At 38.7% G+C, this 19,898-nt stretch overlaps 2 protein-coding genes across 43 annotated transcripts in view, besides 9 other annotated features; one reads left to right on the forward strand and one right to left on the reverse strand.

Annotated features, from left to right (window-relative positions):
* Nucleotides 1–7,372, reverse strand: part of PRPF40A (pre-mRNA processing factor 40A) — a 66,288-nt gene extending 58,916 nt beyond the window's left edge. For 6 of the 28 annotated variants that reach the window (NM_001365599.4, NM_001365598.4, NM_001365597.4 and 3 more), the window contains exons 1-2: nucleotides 6,583–6,814; nucleotides 5,348–5,479 (exon numbers count right to left, since the gene is read on the reverse strand). In NM_001365599.4, coding sequence (NP_001352528.1) covers nucleotides 5,348–5,479; nucleotides 6,583–6,792 — 342 coding nt within the window. In that variant the 5' untranslated portion in view covers nucleotides 6,793–6,814. Of the gene's footprint in view, nucleotides 1–1,656; nucleotides 1,721–3,902; nucleotides 3,983–5,347; nucleotides 5,480–6,582 lie in introns of all 28 variants that reach the window. The other 22 variants (NM_001354431.4, NM_001395476.1, NM_017892.5 and 19 more) reach the window with 9 other exon arrangements.
* Nucleotides 6,514–6,813: an enhancer, noted in NCBI's record as "active region_16651". NCBI's record gives its function as "activates an Ori minimal core promoter by ATAC-STARR-seq in GM12878 lymphoblastoid cells {active_cell/tissue: GM12878}" and the evidence as "EXISTENCE:reporter gene assay evidence [ECO:0000049][PMID:35858748]".
* The window catches only part of ARL6IP6 (ARF like GTPase 6 interacting protein 6), a 44,749-nt gene continuing 31,851 nt past the window's right edge, over nucleotides 7,001–19,898 (forward strand). For 4 of the 15 annotated variants that reach the window (NR_146430.2, NR_146431.2, NM_152522.7 and 1 more), the window contains exons 1-2: nucleotides 7,973–8,377; nucleotides 9,886–9,939. Coding sequence is in view for 3 of the 15 variants with exons in the window: in NM_152522.7 (NP_689735.1) it covers nucleotides 7,978–8,377; nucleotides 9,886–9,939 (454 nt within the window). In the remaining 12 variants the exon portion in view is untranslated. Of the gene's footprint in view, nucleotides 7,164–7,245; nucleotides 7,349–7,438; nucleotides 7,473–7,676; nucleotides 7,934–7,972; nucleotides 8,850–9,250; nucleotides 9,358–9,885; nucleotides 9,940–19,898 lie in introns of those variants that run through there. The other 11 variants (NR_146428.2, XR_007069661.1, NR_024526.3 and 8 more) reach the window with 7 other exon arrangements.
* Nucleotides 7,214–7,313: a silencer, noted in NCBI's record as "silent region_12013". NCBI's record gives its function as "represses an Ori minimal core promoter by ATAC-STARR-seq in GM12878 lymphoblastoid cells {active_cell/tissue: GM12878}" and the evidence as "EXISTENCE:reporter gene assay evidence [ECO:0000049][PMID:35858748]".
* Nucleotides 7,362–8,067: an enhancer, noted in NCBI's record as "NANOG-H3K27ac-H3K4me1 hESC enhancer chr2:153574523-153575228 (GRCh37/hg19 assembly coordinates)". NCBI's record gives its function as "activates a minimal SCP1, AML or CMV promoter by ChIP-STARR-seq in naive and primed H9 embryonic stem cells {active_cell/tissue: H9 hESC(naive and primed)}" and the evidence as "EXISTENCE:reporter gene assay evidence [ECO:0000049][PMID:30033119]".
* Nucleotides 7,362–8,143: a biological region, named in NCBI's record as "NANOG-H3K27ac-H3K4me1 hESC enhancer GRCh37_chr2:153574523-153575228".
* Nucleotides 7,534–7,603: an enhancer, noted in NCBI's record as "active region_16652". NCBI's record gives its function as "activates an Ori minimal core promoter by ATAC-STARR-seq in GM12878 lymphoblastoid cells {active_cell/tissue: GM12878}" and the evidence as "EXISTENCE:reporter gene assay evidence [ECO:0000049][PMID:35858748]".
* Nucleotides 7,624–7,713: an enhancer, noted in NCBI's record as "active region_16653". NCBI's record gives its function as "activates an Ori minimal core promoter by ATAC-STARR-seq in GM12878 lymphoblastoid cells {active_cell/tissue: GM12878}" and the evidence as "EXISTENCE:reporter gene assay evidence [ECO:0000049][PMID:35858748]".
* Nucleotides 7,944–8,143: an enhancer, noted in NCBI's record as "active region_16654". NCBI's record gives its function as "activates an Ori minimal core promoter by ATAC-STARR-seq in GM12878 lymphoblastoid cells {active_cell/tissue: GM12878}" and the evidence as "EXISTENCE:reporter gene assay evidence [ECO:0000049][PMID:35858748]".
* Nucleotides 8,184–8,233: an enhancer, noted in NCBI's record as "active region_16655". NCBI's record gives its function as "activates an Ori minimal core promoter by ATAC-STARR-seq in GM12878 lymphoblastoid cells {active_cell/tissue: GM12878}" and the evidence as "EXISTENCE:reporter gene assay evidence [ECO:0000049][PMID:35858748]".
* Nucleotides 8,284–8,483: an enhancer, noted in NCBI's record as "active region_16656". NCBI's record gives its function as "activates an Ori minimal core promoter by ATAC-STARR-seq in GM12878 lymphoblastoid cells {active_cell/tissue: GM12878}" and the evidence as "EXISTENCE:reporter gene assay evidence [ECO:0000049][PMID:35858748]".

Below are 19,898 nucleotides of genomic sequence, written 5' to 3' on the forward strand. Positions count from 1 at the left end.
AAGCAAAACAAATGCTTTATGTGGGAGATTTATGGGGGAGATGGTCAAATAAGACAGAAATACTAAGTAAAAATTGTAAAAGGCTTCTGCAAGACTTCTCATCACTTTAGTAAATATTATGCCTTGTGAATTTCAAAAGGGGAGCAGGGGATGCCGGTCATTCTTCTCAACTGATGTGGTCCTCCTTAGATCTTTCCACACTAAGTTTGTGAATAGATGAGCTCATATTTAAATGAACTGCTATCTAAAGATAATGAAAATAAACGTATTTGTAGTCTCACTATTAACATTTGTCAAAAATCTAACCACATTGAGTCAAGAATTTACAGACATTAGGTCTGAGTTAAGATATTTTTTAAAAGTACTTGCTTGAGTCATCCACATGTACCCAGAAGTTACCCAGATTCAAGAATTATGAGCAGATGACCTAAAAAACAAAAATTCTATCTCTTTTTTGTCACTGGCTAATGCCCAATTCAATGGCATGGATCCTGTAGCTACTCAAAAGGAAGGGTAATTCAGAAGGAACAGCAACAAATAAATTTGTCAAATCAGTCAGGTAAGTCTAAGGTACCAATACACTAAATTTCTCTGCAAGGCCTATATCCTACTTTGTTATTTTTTCCTCTACATTACCTCTACATTACTTATAATACCTTACACAATGTAAATGCTATAAAAGTTATTATACTTTATTTTTAAAAATTTGTATTTTTTTGTTGTTGCTTTTTTAAAGACTATTTTCCATCGCAGTTGCTTGAATCTCTGGATACAGAGGGTCGACTGCAAATGGAAATATTTTAGTTTTATTCTCCAAACAAAAATTATTTATTTCATCTTATTTATCTTCCATTTTTGTCAAATGAAAAAGTAAGAGTAAAGAGGCAGACACTAAAAACAAGAATAAGTAGTAACAACGTAAAGTCACAAGTAACCACTGGAAACAGTCACATTTAACACTGACTGACTTATGGGCTTATACTGCAGGAAAGAATACCTGTGTATTTGTTTCATTCATTCAACAAGTATTTTACTGAGCACCCATGATGTGCCAAGAACTGTGCTCAGCACCTATAGGCTTCTTAAAAAGTACAGAACATAGCCCCTGCCCTCTAAGAGCTTACAATCTATTACTTGTTGGAAAATTAAAGCAAATTAAGAAACCATAAAACAAGTCAATAACTAGGTGCCAAAATAAGTGAAACGGTAAGAGTTATGGGTAGATTACAAATATTTTCTTTAATAATCTGAAGGGGAGGTATATGTTGGCAAAAGTCATTTTTGAGAAACTTTTGGAGAAGGCAGGACTTGAAATAGTACAACATAGGTAAGCAAAGCAAACTTCATGGTGATACTGAGCTGGGGGCAGGAGGGTAAGAAGAACAGCCTAAGTTTGAAGTTGTGAACTAATATAATCACTCAAGACACCGTGAAAAGACCAGCCTAAGTTCAAATTAGGGAGTGTAAAGACATGCAGCCTTGAATCCTGCTTTGACATGTACTATGGGGAGGTTCTTTAAAGTTAAGCTGTGGAATTTAGATACTATGTTATAGGCACTGAAAGTACTGGAGATTCTTGGGCAAGGAGATAACACATTGAAATCTAAAATTTGTGGGGGCAGGGGGGCATCCTTGAAGCAAGAAAACCAACTCAACTCAAAAACTGTTGAATAACCTAGGCATGGGAGAGTGACGACTTGGGCTCATGTGGTAGCAGGAACTGAAATAAAATAAGATCTATTAGAGCCAGCCTTACTCAATATAGGAGCAAGAAAATCAAACTCATTTGTAAAAAGCAATTATTCATTTATCAGTTTACTGACCAAAGACCAAAAAAAAAAAGCACTGAATAAATAGAATTAGGGAGGCATTACTAAAGGAATTTTCTGTTCTTTCCATATCATCCCATAAAATCTGATATCTACTCTTATCAAATGATCTGAACTGAATCATAGGATGTTAGAGCTGAAAGGGACCTTAACTCAATTACTCTACTCTTCTCACTGATAGAGGAAAATAAAGACTCAAATAGGGAGGAAAAAAAAAGAGCCAGCTAGCATGACTCTGGGGCAAAGGCATAATCATCTGTGATAAAGATGGCAGGACCTGCATGTCCTTTGTGTAGAAAACACAAAAGACATGAAAACAGTATTTACTATGGACACTGAGGAAGAAGACAGCCTCACACATAATTTTATTGATAGAAATCTCTACAGAAAATCTTTATTTTTTTGAGATAGGGTCTCACTTTGTCACCCAGGATGGAGTGCAAGGCGTGATCTTGACTCACTGCAGCCTCGACCTCCCAGGTTCAAGCAATCCTTCTGCCTCAGCCCCCTAAGTAGCTGGGACGACAGACGCACACCACCACACCCAGCTTATTTTTAAATAGTTTTTGTAGAGATGGGGTTTCACCATGTTGCCCAGGCTGGTCTCCAACTCCTGAGCTCAAGCGATGCACCCGCCTCAGCCTCCCAATGGGAAATTTTTGAGTACTGCCATCCAGCAGGGAAAATTCTTTATCTTTCTTTACTAACATTTAACCAGTGATCCTCAAAGCATCTTAAATCACATATTATTTAAAGCTTAAACAACCTGTAAGGTCCCTTTCAGCTATAAGATCCTATAACTCTAAAAGTATGACTTTCCTATAAAGTTATATAGAATAAGAGGCAAATTTAATCTACAAGATAGAAAACTGAAATAAACCTGAAAGAATATTAAGCTCAATTTGATAATCATCAAATATTTATTACTACTAAGAGTCAGCCTAAATGCATGAGATGGCACTCTAGGTCATCTCATGAATTAAGAAAAAAAAAATTTGAACACACCACTTCTTTAAGCTAAATAGCTTGATGCATTTGAGAAATTATGAACCCTGGCTTCCGTACATCATTATGCTACCCAGTCTGCATATTATTTTACAAACAAGTTTTACAGTTTCATGTCATATTGGTAACATTCCAAAGACCACAATTATTTGGCAAGTAAGACTGCCACCAATTTTAGTCTTTAGCTAGTCCCAGCATGAGATGTTCATGCAAACCAGTCAACACATGAAGGTTTTTATAACCTTCAGTCCCAAAGTCTAAAGAATTTGTGAACTGACTTTTTTAAATTGCATGGCAGAACCCTCCCAACTGTCACTACTGTGAATGATACAGACAGACATCCTGCTTCTTCTCAATTATCTTCTGACCACTTATTCCTCCTGAGTACTTCCAAGAGTGGCAGAAGAAATAATGCAGGAAAAAGGATCAATTGTCCTATTTATTATCACCTTTAATTTTTAAAGCAATGTTTACAGAGTTTCAAATATGATTTCTGATTTGAGAATTCAAATTATCCATGCTCTCCCAGTCTGTTATAAAGCTAAAACAAGAATTTGTTTTACCAAGATTTGGGACCCATATTTGTTAGTGAAATATTAAGGGGATAAAAGGGAATTATATAATTCTGACAAAAACAGCGGAGATTCTTTTGGGACTTTCAGGGCATAACTCCTACTAAAACATTTATTTATTATACTAACAGGAGCCTTCAGAGGGAGAAGAATTCTAAACATCTAAATAATTAGGTCTACTTAAAGGCACGTGGCATATATTAGCCTAGGAAAAAGTAGAAGAAAACCACACCAAAAAAATCAGTTATTTGAATGGATGTGTACCGAGTAGCAAGTAAACTTACTAGAAAGATGGTCACTGATACAGCTAAAGAGAAAGGGCCATAAAGCAAACTGTGACCAGCTTATGTCAATGAGATACATGAAAGTACTTTTAAAAAATAAAATCTGCATTTTTTTTTTTAACTAGAACTATGACTAGCTGGTATCTTGGTTTTGGTAGTGCAATAGCACCATTACAGCAAGGGTAAGCAGGTCAATCCCTTGCAAAACTTACCTTGATTGGCCCAATGGAAACAGAAGGCCCCAGAAAAGAGAGAAGCATCTGGCAGTAGCAAATTGTTTTATTTTATCTTTCTGTGGAAAGAAACTAATTTTAAATAAGAACCAGAGCATTTAAAGAATAAATATTTTTAAAGCTCATTATCTAGTTAGAGCAGCTCTACCAAGAAAACAAGAAGAGCTCCTTGCTCCTTAGAGATGGAAAGAAACAGAAGAGGAATCAAAGTTGTTTCTCCATCACCTAGAGAGTTTTAAAATTTGTGTTATTCTAGAGTAACAGAATAAAAGGCTCTTTTATTTAAAGAACTCCTGCAAGCAGAATCTTTTGGGGCTGGTGCCTTTGAATAAAGGTTTTGTTTTGTTTTTTAACAAAATTAAGGGCAATATTCCAAATTAAAAAAAAAAAGAGGAAAATCACTGGACATTAAGCCCTTCTACTCTTAAGGTTAAGTAAAAAGAGACAGACACATAGCAAGCTCCTTTTCCCACTGCAATTTCACCAATAACTTTAACCATGAAAGCTTAAACAATTATCAAACAGTACTAATTAGCAAAAGATCACATGAAATTGGCTTCCAAAATATTTTGTTAGCCTAAATTTTTGATGATTTATGGAAATACTCAAATGGAAATAACCCAGCCACCTAAAGATCTATTATAGAACTTAACATGAAGCACAAAATTACTCATGGTAACTGAACCTGTTACCTTTCTTGGATGCTTCTCTAGAAACTCAGTTCTACCGAAATCACTGAATCAGCATTAAAACCTTTTGATCCAAATCACTCCTACAAAATGTCCATTTACAATTTATGCTAGAGATGGAAGGGACAGCTCATAAGCAGGAGTGTAGAAGCAACAAGCATTAAAAAAAAATAGTATAAGTGGAAAATGAACTACCTATTGGCACTGTCCTATGAAGAATCAGAATTATAGAGCACAAACTCCCCACCCTCCCTCACCCTCCTCCAACACACAAAGAGGAAGATATTTCAGGAATAAAATTCGCTCTAAACCAAAACAATAGCTATTTTCAGATTCTATTTATTTACATGGTCTACCAAAATCAGTTATGTTGCTGTATCAGATAATATTTACTTAGACCATCAACTTCAATTGGCATTCTTGAAAAAATAATCATTAAAAATAAAAGCCTGGATCCACACTTTACTTTTAAATAATAAAGAAAAAAATTCTTAGTTTTGAGGTCATCAGTAAATTTCTCAGAAGACTTTTTCATTATTTAAATTTCTCAGAAGACTTTTCCATTATTCAAATTTCCGTTACAGTCATGATTTAACATTTGGCTTATTTGAAATTATTCGGGCATAAACTAATCATTAAACAGCTATAACTACTGACCTAGATTCTGAAATCTTGATAGAATACCTGAGGCAAAAACAAATAAATAAATGCAAAATAAAACAAAAACAGTCTTACTTGTCCCATTGGTGGCCCTCCCATAGGGGGCATCATCTGCGGCATCATTCCATGAGGTACAGGAGGCATATTCGCTCTCTGACCCATAGGGTGCATTCCCATTGGGGCATAATGCATGCCAGGGTGCCCCATCTGAAAAACAGTGAACATTTTTAAATGAGCAAATAATACTAAATGCTTCTCAAAAATCTCATTTCAACAGATCAGTTATCTGAAGCGACATAATATTAAGCTTATGTGTAATAACATCATTGGATTAGTCTATACCTTGTTTCAAACAAAACGCATTCTGCTAGTATTTAAAACGAGCTTGCAAATTCCGTAAAAAAATGGGAAAAGTTAAGATGAATCCTGGACCGCTGGATCATAGGTTTTCTCTCTCTTTTTTTTAAGCACTGACTTAACCAGCTACTAATTGGCTTGCTAAGCTTGGAGGATACACATTGAATACTAATTTTAAAACTGTTATGGTGAAAACAACAACTCTCCTATTTCATGCAGATATAAAAGATAGCCAGCTATTGTTATTTTATAACACTACTGATTTTAAACTTTAAAATGCTCTATCCAATTAACTCAGGTGAGAGTCGGTCTTACAAAACACAAACAGTATGGCTACCCAGGCACAATTCACTCCTAACAAACTTATTTCCTAACATAACCTTTAAGACAGGTAAAATTCCTTCTGCCAAAAATACATTTTCAAAGACTGAGGTTCTGTCACTCACGGACACTAAATGCAAACAACTAATTCATCCTTTTTAACGCAGTTTAAAAAGACAACTACTTTCTTTACCGATGAGTCCATTGTTCTATGTTTTAAATTAAAACCACCTAATTATCTCCTGCCAATTGTCCCAACAGTTCCCCCTGCAGACCACCCCGACGACTAATGAAAACAAATTTTGGCAGCCGCTGTTAAAGTCTTACAGTATCAAGCCCCTGCCTCCCCCTCCCAGCTAAAATCGGGCCTAAAGCTCCAAGACGCTCACCCCGCCCAAGAGCCAGCACCTTCACCACGCATCTGTCTAGGCCAAGCCCACGGGGAACTTCCAGGGTCTCACATCCTTCTCTTTGTGCATTTCCACCCTCCACTTCTCTCCCTCAGAACATATCCCACCATCTCGAGTTCTTCCTTCGTCCACTCTTATCTTCTTCTCCTTTCGGAGAAAGCTTCCTGTTTCTCACTCCGTTTTTCATTGTGCCGCCTTCCCCCTGCCCCACTGATCCCTTACCGAGGGCCGTCTCCTCAGGAAGCCGTCAGCAGAGACCCAAGAGCCGGAGCAGAGGCTTGAGCCGGACAATCTCCGCTCCCCGTCCCCAGGACCCTGCGAGGGAGGATGGCTCTCCATTTCACTCACCATGAGGCCTCCACGCTCAGCTCCCGTCCCCGGCCTCATCGTCGGGCTCAGACTGCTCCGCCGGCGGCCACTGCCGCTACACATACCAACAAGAAGCGATCTGAGTGGCTGGCGCCCACTGGGGCTAAAGGTTAAAGGCTGCCCTGCGCTACGGGGCGGGATCAGCGGGGCCAACAGGCTGACGGGCTTCCCCGCTGTCCAATCAGAATGCGCCGCCGACACGCAGCTCTGCGGCGATTCGCCCCCAGCCTCAGCCTCACTCGGCGTCGCCTGCATGGGGGGGGGGGAGGAGGAGGACGGAGGAAGTTTCTGCGCCGAGTCCTCCGTCGGGAAAACTCTACCAACTTCCCCAGGGGAAGGGAAGACAACAGTGTCCCAGCTTCCCGAGCTTAGACCGCCTCACCCCGTAGGGGGTGGGGCAGTGGGGGTCTGCCACCTTCACCCTCCCCGCCCGAGTTACGTACGCCCCACAAACCTGAGGCCGCCAGGGGTAGGGTGGAGGGGGCGGGGGTAAGCAGCCTGTAGTGTTAGCGGTGGCTGGGACCGAATGCGCGCGCGCGGTGCTCGAGGCGGAGGGGAGGAGGCGGGGAAGGCGAAAGGAGGGGTTCGGAGGAGAGGGTTCGATCTCCGTACGCACCAGGTGGAGAGCGCGCGCCTGGGGAAGGAGGCGTGTCGAGTAGCGGGAGGGAAGTTGTAGTACGGGTGGGGAGAACCACACTAAAGGGAGATGGGGGTGAGCAGTTAAGGAACCGCGAGAGCGCCAGGTAGAGAGGTGCCCTTAATGGGGGAACCTGGAGAAGAGTGTGAGCGTAGTGGGGAAGAAGGGAGAAGACAAATAGGTTCGGGAATGTGTCTCCGAGGGCGCGAGCGGGCGCTAGGACCCGGCGTCGAAAAGATGAGGCTTTGGGGCTGTCGGGGCGCGCGCTCCCGTTGGTGACGCGGGGGTGGCGGAGGTCTCCGGCCGGGACGAAGCCCCGCAGGGAGTGGATACTCGACAGCCTTCGGCCTCCGCTCGCTTCTCCCTGCGCGCTTTCCTGCTCCCCTTTCCGGCTACAGCCCTGGGGTCGAGCTCTGGTCGAAGCGCATTCCGCCTCTCCTTTGGCCCTGCGGCTTCCTTTGCAACCCGCCGCCCACCCTTGCTCTCCGTGGTTTACCCCTGGGCTCTGAGGCCTGGTGGTAGCGGCCACTGCCGCGGATTGGCTGTTGCGGACCCGGGGCGGGGCAGGTGGGAGAGGCTCGTTCTCCGCGGGTTTCGTTGTGTTTCGCGCCATGTCGTTTGCTGAGAGCGGGTGGCGGTCGGCTCTGCGGCGCCGCGGTCCCGGCACCCCGGGCCCTGTGGCTCGGCCATCGTATTCCTCCTTTACTCAGGGGGACAGCTGGGGTGAAGGCGAAGTCGACGAGGAGGAGGGATGCGACCAAGTGGCCCGCGACCTGCGGGCGGAGTTCTCGGCTGGGGCGTGGTCAGAGCCCAGAAAGCGCTCGGTGCTCCCGCCGGACGGGAACGGGTCGCCCGTTCTGCCCGATAAGCGCAATGGTATCTTTCCCGCGGCCGCGGGCAGCAGAGCCCAGCCTCGGCGGTGGCCGGTCCAGGTCCTCTCTATTCTCTGCTCGCTGCTCTTCGCCATTCTTCTCGCCTTCCTCCTCGCCATCGCCTACTTGATCGTTAAAGGTATTGAAGCCGACGCCTTGAAAGTCTGTCCAGAGTAAAGTTGAGCCAGGGTGTGGCTCTCGTCTCCACCCATCTCCCTTTCCCTCGCGCTAAGCCCTCAGGCTGGCAGCTGCTTTCACCCAGAGTCCTCATTTGCATCTTACTTTGCTCTCCCGCCCTTTGCCTTTTCTAAGTGGAGCGTCCTGATCCATGATCAGGAGACGTATTTTTAAAAAGGATCGTTTGATTAAATGGGTACTCTTGAAGAAATATCTTCAAGTCCTTGAACACTGGGGATGAAATATTGTGAAGATTAAACAAAATGCGAAACACCCACCATTAAAAGGAGACAGTGAAAAGTGCATATAATTAAAATAGGCCATGTTCAATGGCCTTCATCCACAAATAAAGATGTGCTGTCCACCAATTCCTCTACACAGAATCTTGAGGGACAAAGATTTTCATCGCATAGTCCAAATTTCTTCTTTTATAGGTAAAATAATTAGCCTCTCAGTTTTTAAGTTTGTATCCAGGTGTAGTGCACGGAGTTCTGTTGCAGAAAGTATAGTCCACTCGTCCTCTAATAATTTTGTTTTTCTGTCTGAAGTTGAAATATTGGCCGGTTGAAGTTTATTGCAAGGCATACGGTTGTATAATTTAGTTGGCTAGTGTATATTATAGTGGAAAGAAGCAGAGTTAAGTTTAAATTTCCATTCTCACTAGTTTGTGACCTTTGCCAAGTTACTGAAAAAAAAAAAAAAAAAAAAAAAACAAAAGAACTTTGTTGTATGAAAAGCACCCAAAACATTGTCACTGAAGTGTTATTTTTGTACTTCATTAAATATAATTAAATCTATTTAACTCCAGTTTTTATTTGTCCTCATTGCTTCCCAGCGTTTAGTGGGCTACAGATGGCATGGCATCTAAAACCTTACAATGCTTGATTTTCATACAGAAGACACTTTGGCCAGTTGATGTGGGTTTTACCTCTTCATAAAATGGTAAACTGAATGTGCATAAAATGCAAGCTGTCAGTCTTAAATGATTGGCTGCCAATGTTTCATTTATCATTCCCCTCCCCACTTTTTTGCCCTTTTTTGCAATTCTGATAGTTTTGTCTCCTAGGTGGTTTATTTCTGTTTTGCTCGGAGACATTGCCTTTGTATCATAAAGTCACAAAACCATGATAAGTGGAATTCCATTGCAGAAGACATTGAACTGTGCTTATTTGGAAGAATAGAGAAAGGAACTGAACTCCACCTAGTATGCCCTTTAGTGTTTACCACTACCTTAGGGAATAAACAGTACTCTCATCCTATGTACGGTATATAGCTGTTGGCTCCCTTAGTGGTCAACACATTAATTTGCTTGCTGAAGGTCACATAGCTGGTAAATTGAATCAGAATTTGAACCCAGTTCTTTGTGACTCCAGAGCACTTTCCACAGCTCCACAATGCCTTCACAGCCCTTGAGTTACTTTTCAAATTATAGTATTGCTTTCCTACCTAAGTCCCTCTTTGTATTTGCAGAGTTGCATGCTGAGAATTTGAAAAATGAAGATGATGTAGACACTGGACTATTAGGTATGGACTTAATTGCCGCTTGCTTTGGTTTTGAGCTCACGTTTGTGTTTCTAGATCATGTTTGAACTAACTCTGGGATAAAATACTTAATGTATTTCTATGTGCAGTCATTCAGTCTTGTTTTTAATTTGCATATGTTGGTGATAAATGTTATTAGATTTCCTTTATATGTGTGGAGTATGTGTATGCATATATGGTATGTTTGCTATAATTTTTTAATGGGGCCAGGTGCAGTGGCTCACATCTGTAATCCCAACACTTTGGGAAGCTGAGGCAGTAGAATCACTTGAGCCCAGGAGTTCCAGACCAGTCTGGGCAACATAGTGAGACCCTGTCTCTACAAAAAATAAACAGAATTAGCCAGGCATGGTTTCACTCATGTTTGTAGTCCCAGCTACTTGGGAGGCTGATGTGGGAGGATCACTTAAGCTGGGAAGTTCAAGGCTGCAGTGAACCGTGATAGTTACACTGCACTCCAGCCTGGGCGACAGAGTGAGACCCTGTCTGAAACAATAATAATTTTTTTAATGGGTACTGGTATGTGTATGTACCACACACACTAGTAATACATTTTAAACACAACTGCATGTGACTCAGGTCCAGAGAAATATTTAACATTTTCTAATTACCTTCTGGAAGAGGCTTCCCACAGCTCTTCTCAGGAATTTAAAAACAAAAGAACTTCCTCACTATCCTAGCAAAGGTAAATAATGTCTTATGTAGGCTTCAGGAGGAATTTAAGTTCAAATATCTTTATGTGCAGCTTTTTTTTTTTTTAAAGCATTGACCATCCTTGCACAGGTAAATGACTAGGAGAGTCAGACCTCAGTTTCTGCAGTGTCTGTAGAATGCTGTAGTTCACAGGTTTCCAGTGAAAAAGGTTATTCTATATTTCTCTCCACCAAAATGATTCTGAAGAGTTGAAAACTTTACCTGTCCAGCATATTTTACTCCTATTTGCTTTGATCACTCTAAATTGGGGAGGGGAGATCAAACTTAATCACTCTACATTCGATCACATGAATCAAGTCATTTGATGTGATCACTTTAAATTAAATCATTTGATTTGATCACTGTAGATAGGTGGTTGAGACACTATGACACATGTCCTCCCCTCTCCCATTCTTTCCTAAACTCTCTAATCTACCACTTTATGGCTAATCACCCTTATGGTGACACTAAGTATAGTGTACCTTATTTCAGCAGAAGGGGAAACATGAACCCTTTATCTTCAAATTGCAAAGAAGTTGGTTTCTTAGATATTGCATGGAAACTTTTGTCTGTTCTTGTCAACATCTTGCATGAGAAAACATACTTTTTAGTTACTCATTTTATCAGTGTATGTTTTTACATTGTTTTATCTCTAGAAATAAGCCAAGATTATTAGGCTTCTCAGAGCTTTTATTGATCTGTCACCTCTTGATGCAGTGGAAACAGAATCTTATGAATTAGGCATGAATTCTAAACCTTTTGCTGTTTAAAAGTTGTCCTGATTTCTCATTTAGGAGTAGAATGACGGGCAGTTGTTATCTGAAGGAATGGCTTGCTCAATATCAAAAGGAATGTGATAGGTCTTTTGACATGGTCCTGCTTCCTTTTCCACTTAGGGTTAAATAATCCCATGTTGCTTTTAGGTATGCATGATAGATACTTAATATTTTTACAGCAAATAGGAAAATCATTAAGATTTTGCTAATGGCATGAATTTATTGTCAAGAGTCAGGAATGAGCAGAAAGTGTTGTATCTTTATGGTGAAAAAAACCCAACAGCTATGCCAAAACAAAGCTCATTATTTTGAACCAATGGTCAGATGAGCTCCAGTGGTCAGATGGAGAATAAAAATAGTTAATATCATTTAATGGGCTAATTCAATCAGTTTCCTGGGGGTTAATTTTAAAGAATAGTTATAGCAGATGTATGTATTATAACATATGGATAGAGAATAGTTGTCTCTACCAGAAGAGGATTCTTAAAAATCTGTTTCAGTGAAACAGGGCCAAGATGATTAAGCTCTTAATAAGATTGAGGTGATCGGCCACGCGCGGTGGCTCACACGTATAATCCCAACACTTTGGGAGGCCGAGGCGGGTGGATCACTTGAGGTCAGGAGTTCGAGACCAGCCTGAACAACATGGTGAAACCCCGCCTTTACTAAAAATACAAAAACAAAATTAGCTGGGCATGGTGGCACAGGCCTGTAATCCCACCTACTCGGGAGGCTGAGGCAGGAGAATCACTTGAACCGGGGAGGTGGAGGTTGCAGTGAGCCAAGATTGCGCCACTGCATTCCATCCTCAGCAACAGAGCAAGACTCCAACTCAAAACAAAACAAAAGATTGAGGTAATTGTGGCAACACCTGCCTTTTTTTCTAAGCTGCAATTCTCTACTGTTTTCAAGAAAAATACAAGTTAGCCTATTTACAGAATGTTTTGAATTGACTCCTGTCCTCTGGTTAAAACTCCTCTTGAGATAATTGATAGCTGAAAAGGTAGGATGGTTCTCTCAAACTTGACTTCCATCTAAATCAACGCTGAGTTGATTAACTTAGATATCAAGAAAAATTGCCTCATTAGTTTACCCCTGAGGAGATGCCTATGAAGTTACATCCTTTTTACAATTAATAAGACAGTTTTCACATGAAGAAACAATTTGAAATATTTAATAAGAAAATGTGTTGAAGTCATCCATTACGTTTGGGAAAAGTACCATGCAGCCTTTTATCAGATGATAACGATTTTATTATATTTCACTATTTATTTTGCCCTGTTTATTAGGAACCTCGTAGCCAAATGTAATAATGTTTGATTGTTTTGTATATTACTCTTTATTTCTTGGCATACTTATTATTGCCCACACATGCTATTATCTTAATATTTCCGTGACTCATATTTAAAATTTACTGCAAATTTCCTCATTCTTTGTTTGAAAGTAGGTTGGTTTTTAGAAAAAGCAACGTGAGCACAGTAACTGCTCTACCATGAAAGAGTTCTCTTTCTTTTTCTAGACAGACTGACAAAAATTTTGTACACTGCAGAATTTAATTGCAATTTAATCCTAGTCCAAGATTGGCATGGCAGTCAGTAAGAACAGATTATAGCAGCAATTCTCATTTTGGTATGGGTAACAATCACTTGGGGACTTGCTTTTTTAAAAGCACCTGTAGATTTTGTTTTGGCCATCATGATTTCGTGATACAGAACATTAGAAGTGTTAAAAAAAGTCCAAGAGAAAGGATGTGTGGGAGGTGGCCCATTCTCTTAAAAAGACACAAGTTGAGTAAAACTCAGTTTCATCCTTACAATGAAAATTGATTGAAACTCTGAACTTGAACTTTTTAGCCAGTGTGTGGACTTTATAATTTGAACCTATACTCTATTAAGAAAGTGTTACAGTGCTATCTGTGGCTGGGTGGGGTAGCTCTAATATTTCATCTAAAAAGTCACAAATATCCTATTCTATAGCACAATTTTTGTAAAATTGTCTTACCTATTTGTATTATTCAAGAAATGATGACTAAGGCCAAAAAAAAAAAAAAAAAAGAGAGAAAGCCAAAAAGGACTGGAAGGATATAATCAAAATGTTAGTTTATCTGGGTTTCCGAATTGATTGGTTGTATTTATTATTTTTATTTTCTACAATGTATAAGTGTAACTTGCAATAAGAAAAACTTTAAGGGAAAGCACAAATTTAAGTTTAGAGAATAATGTTTCAGTAATTAACAATAACACCATTTATTGCACTTTTACAATATGCCAAAAGCCATTAATTTGTGTGTTATTTCCTCTAGTATTCTCAACTACACTGTATCCATCAATGTTATTTTCTTCTAAACCAAAACTCAAGAAAGTATGTATTATAATTTTTATACCATAGATAGTCTAGGTAGTATAGCAAGGCAGAAAAAGAATGGGTTATCAGCAAGAATTAGCCATGTGCAGCTAAATTATTAGTCATGAAATTATTACAGGACTCTTCTTAACACATAAAAGCAGTAATAAGAACCAGACATTAGGACCCCTAAATCTCAATAAATTGAGTTGACATTGTGTGGTACTCTGTAGTCCAACTTTGGTGGTTGGGAGGGACGTTTCTTAGGCTAATGAAGTCAAAAGTTAGCTGGCATCAGAATCACCTGAAAGATAAATTTTGCTGCTCTTCACATGGTGCAGAATATCTGACTCAGTAGTGTGAGATGGAGCCCAAGAATTTTCATTTTTGACAAGTTTTGAGTTGATGCTCTGCATGCTGCTAGTTAGGGGGCTATATATACTTTGAACACCACTGGCCTAGTAGTTCCCAAACCTGACATAAAAAAAAAAGCAAAAAAACGAAGACCCTGGAGATTTTCTTTTTTTGCTTTTACGGAATCTTAGACCCTATAATTATCTACTGAATCGAAGTAACTTAATTGGCTGTATGTGTCAGTGTACACTGTACAATCAGGGCTCATTGGACCATTTTTCATTTCTGAATTATTTCGAGCAGTTCTGTTTGTAAGGATTGAAATTTCATGACTTATTCTTTCTTAGGGATCTTCAAAAGAATAAAGAAAACTGAGCTATATTTCTCATAAAGTTTATTTGATCTTGAAATTACCACATTGGTCTATTGGACATTTTTTAATTTTGAAATACGTTTTGGGATTTTAGTGGTCACATATTGTTCTTTCTCAAAACATTCTCCTATTTCATTATTTTAGTATTACTCATCAATTCTCAACTATGGTCGAAAGAATAAAATAATTATGATGGAATTAGGATTCCAGTAAGACTTTCCTAAGACTTTAAGTATTTTTTTCATCTTTTATGAGGTCTGCATCCTAATTTATTTGATACTGTTTGTAAGTGGACAGATGCTAAGGGCAGATGTGTATACAAAGGTGATTTGGAAAAAAAAATGCAAAAAAGAATTATTGGGTTGACCATTTGAATTGTTTGTAATCTAAAAATGAAAATATGTTACAAATTATGGAGCAAAGAAGATTGTTGTCCTCTTTTCGTCAAAATAAGCCATGAAAGGCTTAAAAATTCCTTCAAACATTGTGTTTTAATGACGCAAGTGCAAAAAAAAAAAGCAGGAATAATGACAAGCTGTAACCAATTTGAGATGTATCTGAAATCTGGAAGTGGTATTTACAAGATGGATATGTTGTAGATTCATACATGAAGTTAGTAAGCAATTATTTGCACTCAGGTCGTGCCCATTTTTGGTGTACATGACTTTAGGGAAACTGGGAATTGAAATTCGGATTTGCTGTATTTATTTCTTATGAAAATTTTTAACAAAGTTTTTTTCCTGCTGTCTTTTTGCTCTCTAAATTATTCTTCAAGTGTCATGAAAATAAAGGAAATAAAAAAGCCTCTTTGGACTTATATGATAAAAATATTGATGACTGTTTTCCCTGTTATACTGAAGATTACAAGCTTCAGAGGAGAATATAAATTTAACAGGATTGCCCATGAATTAATTGTTTAAAGCTGGATGATGGGTATATGAGTTTTATATACTTCTCTCAACTTTTTCCTGTGTTTGAAATGATCTGTAATAAAAGTGTTGGGTTTTTTTTTTAATTTTCCCATGTGAATCTAATGATTTACCAATGTTGGGAACTACAGGTGTTATTTATTTTTGAAATTTCAGTCACTTAATCTGTCAGAGGATCACCTTCCTCATCTGTTTCAACAGAAAGATGTAGAAATGCTACAGTCTGGGTTGCAGGTGGTCGGGCGATTGGGTGAAGGCCTTAACCAGTGTAACTGCTATAGCTACCATGCACTCTGCACCCACTATGCTCATGTTGCATTGGCAGGAGAGGAGAGAGCACTTTCCTCTGCTCCTGCACTTGGCTTTGACGTGTAAAGAGACACTTTGCTCTAGGGATTTAAAGACTTGAGCTATCTATAGAATGTGATTTAGAGAGGATACCAAATTATTTAAAATAATGGTCATCCTCTCAAGTTAGAAAACTATAGAATCTAATAAAGTTGAGAACATTTGCTTACATAAACATTTAAAAATTGATGGTTAGTTTCATGCATATGATACATCTAAGTTTTATTAGTAGCCAGCTGGTAATAGTTTTTACAACTTTTAAAGTTAGCTAAGTACAGCCATACACCACATACCATTTTGGTCAACAGTGGTCTGCATATATGCCTGTATGATGGTGGTCCCATAAGATTACAGTGGAGCTGAAAAATTCCTATTTAGTGGCATTGCAACTGTCCTAACTTGGTAGTACAATATATTGCTCACATGTTGGTGTTGATGCTGGTATAAACCAACCTATTACCAATCTAGTTTTATATAACCTTCCAGTCATAAAAAAAAATACAGCACAATTACGTGCAGTACATAACATAATTCTTGATAAACAATTATGTTACTGGTTTATGTATTTACTATGCTTCTTATTGTTTTAGATTATATTACTTCTGCTTAAAAAAAGTTGACTGTAAAACAGCCTCAGGCAGGTCCTTCAGGAGGTATCCCAGAAGAAGGCATTGTTGTCATAGGAGATGACAGTTTCATGCATGTTGTTGCCCTTGAAGACCTTTCAGTGGAAAAAGATGTGACAGTGAAAAACAGTGATATTACCTTGACCCTATGTAGGCCTAGGCTAATGTGTGTGTGTCTTAGATTTCAACAAAGAAGTTTAAAAACTAAAAAATTAGAAATAGAAGCTTATAGAGTAATGGTATAAAGAAAAAACATTTTTGCACAGCTGTACAGTGTCCTTTTGTTTTAAACTGTTAGTAGAAAAGGGTAAAGTTAAATTTTAAAATTTATAAAGTAAGAAAGTTACAGTAAGCTAAGGTTAATTTATTAATGAAGAGAAAAATTTTTTAATTTAGCGTAACCTAAGTGTACAGTGTTTATAATAGTCTATTGTAGTGGACAGTAGTGTCCTTGGCCTTCACCTTCACTCATCAGTCACTCGCTCACTGATTGACCCAGAGCAACTCTTTGTCCTGTAAGCTCCATTCATTGTAAGTACCCTATACAGGTGTACCATATTTTATCTTTTACACTGTATTTTTACTGTACCTTTTCTATATTTAAGTATGTTCAGATACACAAGTACTTATTGTTGTATTACAGTCGCGTGCAGTATTTGGTATAGTAACATGCCGCACAGGTCTGTAGCATTGGAATAATAGGATATAACTGTATAGCTCATAGGTGTGTAGTAGGCTATATACCTAGGTTTTTGTAAGTACGCTCTTGTGATGTACAAACAACAACGAAATCACCTAATGATGCATTTCTCAGAACATATCCCTGTCATCAGTGTATGATTGTATTGTATTTTCATTGTTAGTATCATAAAATGCATTAGTTACGTAAGTAATTTAATCTCACCAGGAAAGATTCCAACAATTAAAGCAAAGGCTTTCACCGATCTACCTGTGTGTCTTTTTACATCTTTTTCTCTTTGTTTACATATGTATAGTCATTTAAAATACATGTTTTTTTCACTGTTATAGGAAAAATATAATTGGAATCATGTATATTTTGCAGCCTTGTTAAAGTGCCTTTTGGAGTATATTCTGTATTAGTATACATAGGTCTACCTCATTTTTTCATGACTGCATTGTATTTCATAATATAAGTATACCAGTTTATTTAAACATTTCAAATGTCAGAATCTCTTACCCAGGACTTGGAAATTACTAGTATACAGTCACGTTTAATCCCATTGTTTACTTATGAAGTTTTATGAAGTGTGTGCAATTGATTGCCTAACACTTATTTAATAGGAAACCTTTCCCTAGTATAGGAACCATGAGAGTTTTGTTTTTTTCTGGTGTATTCTGATTATATATAATATGTGTAAATTGGTGCCTCTGTGTCTGACTTCATAAAACTTCTTGAAAGTTGCCTCATCCCCGTAAGCTAAAACTGTTAAACAAAATGAAAATATTTAGAGCATATAACAGCCTCTTTTGCTGGAAGGTTTTATAGAAATAAAGTTGCCAGCATATTTTTAGAAGAGTAACTGCTCCCTGACACCAGAATGGCTTATTTTGAAAAATAAGCCAAAACAAATATACCCTTAGATAGGTGTCTATAATATTCCAGCAAAGGGATTGGGATAGGAAATTCCTACCCATCCCTGTTTTTGCTTTGGATGAAAACAGTCTTAAGAGGTTTCAATTGATGGAAAAGATTAGTATACATCATTTCATTGGCCAGACGTGGTGGCGTCTGACTGAAATCCCAGAACTTTGAGAGCCCCAGGCAGGCGGATCATGAGGTCAAGAGATCAAGACCAGCCTGGCCAACATGGTGAAACCTCGTCTCTACTAAAAGTACAGAAATTAGCTGAATGTGGTGGTGCACACCTGTAGTCCAGCTACTCTGGAGGCTGAGGCAGGAGAACTGCTTGAACCTGGGAGGCGGAGGTTGCAGTGAGCCGAGATTGCGCCACTGCACTCAGCCTGGCAACACAGCAAGATTCCTTCTCAAAAAAAAAAAAAAAAATTAATATACATCACTTTGGCTGGGCACAGTTGCTCACGCCTGTAATCCCAGAACTTTGGGAGGCTGAGGCGGGTGGAACATGAAGTCAGGAGTTCAAGACCAGCCTAGTCAAGATGGTGAAACCCTGTGTCTACTAAAAATACAAGAATTAGCTGGGTGTGGTGGCAGGCGCCTGTAATCCCAGCTACTTGGGAGGCTGTGCCAGAGAATTGCTTGAACCTGGGAGGTGGAGGTTGCCTGGGTGGCAGAGCCAGACTTTGTCTGTGTGTGTGTGTGTGTGTGTGTGTGTACACACATATATGCACACACATCATTTCATCAACTGATGAATATTGAGCTGTAGAGAAGAACGAAGGATGTGTGTATTTATTTAAAAGCCTGCAACCTTTGGTAGCAGTTATTCTGGAAATTTGTAACATCTATGTCCTTGTACAACTGTACCCTTAAATACAAGAATGTTCCTTGGAGCATTGTTTGTAATAGAGAAAAGCTAGAATTAAAAAAAAACACACACACAACAGAACTGTGGCTGTGGGTGCTGATAGGAAAGGTCTCCAGAATATGTGAAAAAAGCAAAATGCAGAACCATTTTTCTGGTGAGAATCTCACTTGTGGAAAATAAGCTGAGAAGATATATATACGTTTTATATATAACTAGCTTTATATATGTACCTGTATTACCTAGATATGTATATAATTTTTGGAAAGATGCACACCAGACTCTTAGCTGATCACTTTTAGGAATGAAATTGGCAAACTGAGGAAGGAAGAATTTCATTTAATATGCTTTCATTTTTATATTCTTTTTAAAGTTGTTAATTCTTTCTAAGGGCTTATAAAACATCAAAATTTTAGCATGAGGATTCTGCAGGTACTGACTTGTAAAAAATTTAGTTGTTGGGGAGTTACCATTTTCTGTGGCTTTTCTGCTTATTTGCAAATGAATTAGGTAATTTCCCGAATCATAAACACTTCTAGACCACAATATTGCAATGTACTTTTTTTACCCCTATCATTGTGACCTGACTTACCCATGATGCAGCTTCTGATTAGTTTAAAATGAACATAAAATAATAAAAATGCTCAATGCGAAGTAAGTACTTAGATTGTGGAATAGTAATTTTGGAAAAACTCAAGAATATTCTTGTATTAAATTTGACAGGTACCCTATTAAAGCACTCAAGTGAAAAAGTTCAACAGGCTTTAGAAAGCCTCACATTTGATTATTTTTATGTTACTTTGTGTCTTTCCTCACTTATCTAGAAGTTTCATCGTTCTATAGCAGTCCCCAAACACTTTATTTTTCTTAACTATCATCTTTGTTCTGGAGAAGTATGTTAAACTTTGAGTAAACTTGTCAATTATTTTCTCCCCTCTTTAGACATAGTCATCTAAATAATAGCAAATAACAGCTATTTGGCAGTATAGCAACCCCTAAGTTGTAGTTGTAGACTAAATCTTATAATTTTTTTT

Source organism: Homo sapiens, chromosome 2, assembly GCF_000001405.40.
Source record: "Homo sapiens chromosome 2, GRCh38.p14 Primary Assembly".
Classification (NCBI taxonomy): domain Eukaryota; kingdom Metazoa; phylum Chordata; class Mammalia; order Primates; family Hominidae; genus Homo; species Homo sapiens.